We start from the raw sequence: 9228 nt of genomic DNA on the forward strand, positions 1-9228 counted from the left end.
AATAAAACTCAGGGATTTCATCAGAGACTCTAAGGTTTAATTCAGTGGCCTGACATTATAAATCAGCTACTTCTTCCAAATCCAGCCCCCCCGCCCCACCCCGCCTCAAACTCCGAAGGGTTGGTGGCATTATTTTTCAAAGGGAAAAATTCCAAATTATTTATGAAAATTGGATTTTCTAGAAACAATTTTTTCAGTCCAATCATTAGCTATCTTTCCCAAGTTTGCATGTGTGGTTGGAGCTGTGAGTTCTGTAATCTGATGTAATTATGAATTACCCTTAATTCTCTGCAGCCCATCCCCAGTGGCCCCTGTAACAGAACAAATTGGATATTATGAGATAACCAAGGGCTGCAAGGCCTCTGGTGGTCATGGGAGACAAACACCTTCATCCAGAACCTGCTACTTATCCCCATGTCTCTGCACAAGGGTTCTCTTCCCATTCCACGTTTTATAATTTTTCTTCAGAAGTTCCTCCGGTGCAATCCATTCTATTTGGTTTCTCTGCCTCCCTCCCCCCAAATCATCTGGACCCAATTTACAAACCCCAAACTGCCCAAGAATTTATGCAGGGCCTTTTCTGGGAGCGTCTGGAAGGGAAGTGTAAACCAGACAAGACAAAACCCAGGAGCAGATCTGCTTTAACTCCGGTGGTTGGTCACAACTACCAAGGGGAGTGTTAGTCACCAGCGTGGGCCTCGCGCGGTGGCAGAGGGAAAGCCCTCGGGGCAGGAGCTGCAGGAGGGCCGCATGCGGAGGCTGGCTGGGCAAGAAGTGGAGGGCCTCACTCCGCCTCTCCTGGAGTCTCCAGGCTGGCAGGGCTAGAGCCTCTCTGCATCCGCCCCTGATCAGCGGGAAGATCTGTCAGTTCCGCAGGATCGGCTGCAACCCCCGACTCTCCAGGCTGGTCCACACAGAGGGATGTTTATCGAGAACAGTGGCGGGAAATCTTCTGCCTGGGAACCCCATGCGACCTGCGTGAGCCGCTCTGAGAAGGCAACCCGCAGAGCTTGACCTCTACTCGCTCCAGGGACTCCCCAGCCTCCAGCACCCCGCTGCCCGCACGGGGTTGAGGAGATTGGGAGGTTTCCTCTTCACTGTTGCATGGGGATGGGGGTGTGCGGGGAGGTGCATGTGGTCAGCTGGGAAGCCCAGCAGCGAGGCTTCCAGGGGTCGGAAGAGAGCGCGCGCGCGAGCCCCAGCCAGGCTGGGCTGCACGCGGCTGGGAAGCACATGTTCATACAAACACGACCACAAGGCGCTCTTTCTCCGCACCCTGCCTCCGCCTGCCCTCAGCTGACACGGTCAATTCTGTTCCTTGCCCTCCTCCCACCTAGCCTCCTGAGGGGCAGCCTCTCTGCAGAAGACTTCCACAGCCGCGTTCACCCTTCTCGCCCAGGGGCCAGAAGCAAACTTGTGTAACCCACTGACCTCTTCCAGGGGGACCAGGGCATCCAGCCAAAGCCGCGCAACCCCTGGTCCGAGCCCTTTTCCCAGGGAAGGCATGGGAGCAGGTACAGCGCCCAAAGGGGAGGTGGGGTGCCCGTCAGGACCCGCCCAAAACCTCCGCAGGAGGGGCAGGCCCGCCCCCGTGTCCTGCTCCCCTCCCCAGTCCCCGCCGCGAGTGCCACTTCCCCAGTGACAGGGCAATGATCAGGGCGCAGCCTCGGCTCGGATGGGCAACGTTTGTTGGCCTTCTAACCAGAGGGGATTGCCTCTGAGCCCGTGGGTAAAACAACCCCCCGACGCCCGAGGTTCTGCAGCCACCCCCTTCCCCCCGCTGGCGACCCTTCCTCACGCCTGAGTCCAGTGGTCCAGGCTGCGCACACTGACCCTGGGGGACCTCTAGCGTCACAGCAATCGCCAGGCTGGACGCCCTGAGAAGCACCTCGGGGAAGCAGGACCTCGACAGGGCCCTGCGGGAGGAGAAGGGGAGGAGGGCGCGAGGGCGGCGGGAGCTGGAGCCAGAGAGATCGTCGGAGCCCAGCTCTGGAGCTTAGGGAGCCGCTGCCCTGGACCTCGGGACTCGCGCCAGCGAGCTTTTCCTCTCGAGCCAAAAGATCGCTTTAGCATAAACTGTCTGAGATCTGCTGGCACGAGGCATCCTTTCAAACACGGTATTTTGCAAGCTGAGAAGACAAGGGGAAGATACCGCGGGTACTCGGCCGCTCCTAAAGCCAAAAAGTGCCAAGGAGCCGGACTTCAGATCTCCATCAGGCTCAGCAGAACCAGGGGGTGGAGAGAGGGGTTGGTCTAACCCCTACCCTACCCGGCGGGTGGGCTACTTACGTTTTTGCCGTGGGGGAGACTTTTCCACGCCTTGTTCTGTGGGCTCTTAAATGCATTTGTATGCATTTGTCCGTGCAGCAAAGCGCTAACGGAAAACAGAAGCCAACTCTGAACTGCTTAGGGTGCAGGTACTGTCCATGAAAAAGGGAAAAAACAATCACATGAAAACCATGCTTCAAACCCGCAACAAGAAAAAAAGGAGGGGAGGGGGTGAAGTCGGGAGGAGGTAGGAAATAGCACCCGAAGGGGAGGACAGGCTTCCTAGCTCTCTGGCTCGGTAACGAACGAGCCCAGGGTTGCGCTCCCCGGGGAGGGCGGGCGAGGAGGTAAACCTCACTGGGAGGCCTCGGGGCGCCGGCGGCAGCGGGAGCCGGGCTGCTAGTGCAGCACTCAAGTTCACTTGCGGTTCAAAGGCGACTCTGTGACTCCAGTGGAGTCCTCTGCTTTGGGCCTGGGAGGAGAAAGGGGTGGGGGTAGGGAAGGAGATGAAGTGGGGGAGGAAGTCCTTGGAAACAGCCCGCGCCCGAACGTTTGTCAAACAAGCACACACACCCACTTCGGAAATCAAGTCGGTGCGAGGGGGCCGGTGGCAACTGCAGGCGCTCGGCGTTGACTGCCGCCGGCTGCTTTGCCTGGAAGAAGAGGAGCCAAGCAAATCCGGCCGGTGTTAAATTTCACCGCTCACTGACTTGCAATGACATCACCAAACACTGCGCACACCTCCCCCTCTGCCCCCGCAACCTTCCCCGACCCAGCGTCCGGCCCAGGCGCCCCCGTTCGCCAGCCCTTCGGGGTCGGGCTGGGCCACCGCACCCCGGGCGCGCTCGCCTCCGCCTGGGTACGACCCGGATGGTCTCCTTTCCCACTTATAGGCAGCTAGTATCCTTCCTTCCATACCATGTTCATGCTCCATTCCCCATCTCAGCAGTCCCCAATTTGATGTTTCCCTCTTGCTTCTCTCTCATCCCCAATCTTTTTCTCTACCCTTTTCACCCACATCTTCTGAAATCACACTTAGAGGAGGCCTTCATTACCCTGCGACCTTCTTGCCTTCTTTGCAGTTAGGCCAGTGGCCTACGTGGTATTATTAAATGACTTTAACTGTCCTCATTTCTACCTTTCCTCCCTTTACTCCTTCCTTTCAGTCTGTCCCCCTTACGACCTTCTACTGACTTTTCTCCTGTAATTCACCTTTCTGCCTTTTCCTGTCTACAAGTATTACTGGTTCACAGCAAGAGCACACCACACACACTACAGTCACACAGTCTCTCTCTCTCTCACACGCACACACCACTACCTTAACAATTTGAATACCTTCTCCAACTTTTGTAGCAAATTTCTTCTTTTGATACAAGTCTCTATGCCCCCATGGCCTTATACTAAGAAATCCACCTTCTGATTTTTGCAAAAACAAAAACAAACAAACAAACAAACAAACAAACAGAAAACAAACGTTCTGATTTTATCTTCCTTATTAATAAGACTGGAAACTCCAAGAGGCCAGGAATCTATTGTGTTGTTCATAGTTGTGTTCTTAGCACCTACCTGGCATATCTGTTGAATGAATGCTGCATATCACTGAGAATCATTGCTCCAAATTTTTCTTGTCTAGCCTGTGTGCCTTCCAGAGCTAATGACCCTTCCACATGCTGAAAGGGATCCCACATTACACACACATTATAAAGGTTAAAGTGATCATATTGGTGAATGACAATGATTGATGTGACTCTCAAGCTTGGTAATTTTTTAAATGCAAGAATATAGAAATTCATTATGCCCCCCTCAATTTTTTGACTGTTTATTTTGAAATAATTTTAGATTATAGAAAGTTGCACAATAGTACAGAGTTCCTATATATACTTCCCTCAGCTTCCCCTAATGTTAACAACTTACATAACCAAATTACAGTTATCAAAACTGGACAATTGGGCTGGGTGTGGTGGCTCATGCCTGTAATTCCAGCACGGCAGGCCAAGGCGGGCAGATAACCTGAGATCAGGAGTTCGAGACCAGCCTGGTCAACATGGTGAAACCCTGTCTCTACTAAAAATACAAAAATTAGCCAGGCTTGATGGTGCACGCCTATGATCCCAGCTACTCAGGAGGCTAAGGCAGGAGAATCGCTTGAACCAGGGAGGCAGAAGTTGCAGTGAGCTGAGATCACGCCACTGCACTCCAGCCTAGGAACAGAGTGAGACTCCAACTCAAAAAAAAAATAATAATAAAAAATAAAAAATAAAATCCCTGGATAATCAACACCAATATAATGCTAATAACCAATCTATACATCTTATTAAATATTGTCAGTTTTCCCATTAATGACCTTTGTCTGGTCCAGGATTTTACTCAGGATCCTACACTGTGTTTAATAAACTAACACAGTGATTAACTGAATTATTAGGTTTCCTTAGTCTCCTCCCATCTGTGGCAGTCCTGTCTTCCTTTGTCTTTCACGAACTCAACACTTTTGAAATGCACTGAGCAGTCATTTTGTGGAGGGTTCCTCAATCTGGATTTGTGTGACATAGTCTCATGATTGGGTGCAGGTTGTGTATTTTGGTCATAAATAACATTGAAGTGATAGTGTGCCCTTCTCGGGGCATCAATCTCAGGTGTACATGATGTTAATATGTCACCTACTAGTGATATTCACTTTGATCACTTAGTTAAGGTGCTCATCTCACAGGATTTGCCATTGTAAAATCTTCCCCCAGTTTTTGTAACAAATAACCACAGATTTCTGAAATATTCCTAGAAATCCAGGACTGAGGGAAGGCAGCCGTTCTTAAATGCCCTTAATTTCTGTTTTTTCTGCTTTTTCCTACTAGTCAGCTAAAGAAGGACAGCTAATTTGGTTTGATGGAAAGAACAATAGATGAAAATTGAGTAGACTTAAGTAACTCAATCTCTGTCTCCATTTTTCCATCAGATACACTTCAGGAATAAAGTCTTTTTTTCTGTTTGCAATATTGAGTCTGAAGAATAGAATGCTGTAGGAAATGAAGTTTTTAAAATGTATTTCAGGTTGAGTATAAGAAGATGACAGTTGCTAGTTAGAGTTAGTGGAACCTTTATCATGCAGAAGATTCCAAAGAGCACACATACCTTCAGACAGAGTACTTTATTTGGGGAGAGGAGGCATTTGTCCAGTAAAAGATAAACAATATAAGTTTTAACTGCTATAGACATTATAGGATGATGGAGATTAGCATAGATCAATTGATCAAGACAGATTAAGCAGACACCTTGTGACTTAGCTGGTCCATGAAAAGCAAAAAGGATTTACAAAGATAGAGAGGAGAAAGGTGGTATGATTGGAAGTGGAGAGTAGATGACTAACAGCAAATGAACCAAGAAGAGTATATCTAAATTATATCCAGAGGAATGGAACAGACTCATCAGACTGGATTAGACGTTTGTGCATTGGAAGAGAGGTTGAAGGCAAACTATGAAAATCCCTGAATGTCAGGATAAGGGTTCATTTATCATATTACCAACTATGTGCCTAGAATTCTTCTGGGCACTGAGTTACAGCAGTGGACAAAATACATGAAAATCCTTCCCTTTATGGAGTTTAAATCCTACTGCTTAAGATTTATGCCTACAGCCAATAAAAAACTATTAGACTTTCGATTTCTCCATACTCCCATTTTAAGATGAGTCAGCATCAGATGCCAGGATTGAAAAGGGGATAAGTTAGGTGTAGATGTTGAGATAGGTTCCGACTATAATCGGAATGGTAGGAAAGCTAAATAAGAAAATCATTACTAAAATAAATCAATATCTGATAACTGGTTAGATTGGGAAGGGAGAAGGCATAGATGAAATTGAAAGCCTGAATGATAAAGAAATTATGATATTGGCCAATGTCAAAGGGTCAGAAAACTAATTCACACTGAGACATATTATATTATGTTTAAAACCATGGTAAGACATTCTTTTGGAGCTATTCAATAGAGCAGAAGAGAGAGAGTTCAGGAGAGAGGCCAGAACTAGAGTGTTAGATTTCTTCATCATCTGCACAAAATGGTATTTGAAGCCTTGACAGTAGAGTCTATTTTTAAAGAAGAGACTATCAAAACAGAGAATAGAGCACCAAAGATATAAACTTAGACTCCAGAAAGTGAAAGGAAACAGTACAGAACTAAAGGAGATAGAACAAGAGGCATATAACATTATTTAAATAATAGTATAGGGGCTCAAAAACAATATAGCAAATACTTCATAATGCTTACTATGCATCAGTATTTATTCTGCTTATTATAAACTTATTTTATCCCTTAAAATTCTATTAAATTAGATATTATTTATCTTCCTTATAAAGAGAAGAAAATAAAGGATTAAATAGCCTGAGATTATAAAACTGAATTTTTCTTTTTCTTTCTTTTTTGTTTTATTTTTGAGATGGAGTCTTACTCTGTTGCCCAGGCTGGAAGGCAGTGACAGGATCTCGGTTCACTTCAACCTCCACCTCCTGGGTTCAAGCAATTCTCCCACCTCAGCCTCCTGAGTAGCTGGGACTACAGGTGTGCACCACCATGCCTGGCTAATTTTTTTGTATTTTTTGGTAGAGATGGGGTTTTGCCATGTTGGCCAGGCTGGTCTTGAACTCCTGATCTCAAGTGATCCACCCGCCTCAGCCTCCCAAAGTGCTGGGATTAAAAGCAAAGAGTGAGCCACCATACCTGGCCTGATCATCAATATTTAAACCAATTCAGACTGGCTCTCGATGAAGTCCATGCTCTCAATAATTTCTCTCTCTCTCTCTCTCTCTCTCTCACTCACTCTCTCTCTCCTTATAAGGATATAAGATTCAGTATGTAATGAAGGTGGTATTTCAAAACTATATAGAAAGGAAGACCTGCTTTACAAATAGTGCTGAAACAATTCATCTTGAGGAGGAAAAAGTTATCACTACCTCATGCTGTATACCAAAGGAAACTCCATATACATTAATGGGCTACAAAAATATTAAATTCTGTAAAGATTTAGAAATAAATATATGTAAAAATTTCTTCTTTAGAGGTGAGGAAGTCTCTTTTAAGAATAAAAGCACATGACAAAACCAAAAAGATTATTTATATTTACTAATTTATCTAATATTTATGGGACAGCAATAGGTTCCAGACACTTTGCTAAAAACTGGGGATGAAAATCATCAAGCAGATTCATCCCTGCTCTGGAAGATATGCAGTCTCTCAGAAAGACAAAGCTGAATGCAGTGCAATTTAAAATTTCCAAGTCATAAAATAAAGAAACAAAAATCTCACACAATATAAACAAATGAAAAGACAAATGACAAACTGAGGTAGCATAAAAATGCTACCAACTTTAACAGAGAACCTAATTTATTTGTAGTACATGGCAGACAATTAACATCTTTAATAAACTTTTATGTTGAAATAATTTCAAATTTATACCAAAACAGTGTGAAAAATTTCTGTATGCCCTTTCCCCTATATTCAGCAATGTTAAGATTTTACCACATTGATGTTATTATATTCTCCCTCTTTCTCTTTCTCCCCGAAATGTTTGAGAGTAATCTGCAGGCATTATGCTGATTAACCCCTTCAGTATACACCATCTGTGTGTATTTCCCAAAAATAAGGATATTCTTTTCCACAACCACAGCTCAATGATCAAAATTAGGAAACTAATACTTACACAGCACTATTATTTAATGTATGGAGCTATTCAAATTTCATAAATTATTTCTGTTTCTCATAGGAAACTCCCCCTTCTTTTTCCTGCTTCAGGATCACATCGTGTATTTAGTTGCATTTAGTCTCCTTTGATCTGGAAAAGTTTCCAAGGCGGAGTGACAAACCCATCACTATTTGCCCAACTTTCCTGCTTTTGGCACTGAAAGTTCTATGTTTTGGGAACCCCACTCAGTCCCAGGCAAACTTGAATGGTTGGTTATTTCATGACCTTGACCATTTTTAAACAGTTCAGATTTTATTAATTATTTTTGTAGAATGTCAAGATCTTTAATATGTGAAGATTTATATATATATATATATTATTATACTTTAAGTTCTAGGGTACATGTGCACAACGTGCAGGTTTGTTACAAATGTATACATGTGCCATGTTGGTGTGCTGCACCCATTAAGTCATCATTAACATTAGGTATATCTCCTAATGCTATCCTTCCCCCATCCCCCACCCCACAACAGGCCCCAGTGTATGATGTTCCCCTTCCTGTGTCCCAGTGTTCTCATTTTTCAATTCCCACCTATGAGTGAGAACATGCAGTGTTTGGTTTTTTGTCCTTGCGATAGTTTGCTGAGAATGATAGTTTCCAGCTTCATCCATGTCCCTACAAAGGACATGAACTCATCATTTTTTATGGCTGCATAGTATTCCATGGTGTACATGTGCCACATTTCCTTAATCCAGCCTATCATTGATAGACATTTGGGTTCGTTCCAAGTCTTTGCTATTGTGAATAGTACCACAATAAACAAACGTGTGCATGTGTCTTTATAGCAGCATGATTTATAATCCTTTGGGTATATACCCAGTAATGGGATGGCTGGATCAAATGGTATTTCTAGCTCTAAACCTTGAGGAATTGCCACACTGACTTCCAGAATGGTTGAACTAGTTTACAGTCCCACCAACAGTGTAAAAGTGTTCCTATTTCTCCACATCCTCTCCAGCACCTGTTGTTTCCTGACTTTTTAATGATCACCATTCTAACTGGTGTGAGATGGTATCTCATTGTGGTTTTGATTTGCATTTCTCTGATGGCCAGTGATGATGAGCATTTTTTCATGTGTCTGTTGGCTGCATAAATGTCTTCTTTTGAGAAGTGTCTGTTCATATCCTTTGCCCACTTTTTGATGGGGTTGTTTGTTTTTTTCTTGTAAATTTGTTTGTGTTCTTTGTAAATTCTGGATATTAGCCCTTTGTCAGATGAGTAGATTGCAAAAA

At 44.7% G+C, this 9228-nt stretch overlaps 1 protein-coding gene across 20 annotated transcripts in view; it reads right to left on the minus strand.

The window, feature by feature from the left end:
• COL24A1 (collagen type XXIV alpha 1 chain) overlaps window positions 1-2933 on the minus strand; it is a 427752-nt gene extending 424819 nt beyond the window's left edge. For 7 of the 20 annotated variants that reach the window (NR_146341.2, NR_146342.2, NM_152890.7 and 4 more), the window contains exon 1: window positions 2290-2721. Coding sequence is in view for 13 of the 20 variants with exons in the window: in NM_152890.7 (NP_690850.2) it covers window positions 2290-2345 (56 nt within the window). In the remaining 7 variants the exon portion in view is untranslated. Of the gene's footprint in view, window positions 1-2289 lie in introns of all 20 variants that reach the window. The other 13 variants (NR_146340.2, XM_047417015.1, XM_047417016.1 and 10 more) reach the window with 4 other exon arrangements.

This window comes from Homo sapiens, chromosome 1, assembly GCF_000001405.40.
Source record: "Homo sapiens chromosome 1, GRCh38.p14 Primary Assembly".
Lineage (NCBI taxonomy): Eukaryota > Metazoa > Chordata > Mammalia > Primates > Hominidae > Homo > Homo sapiens.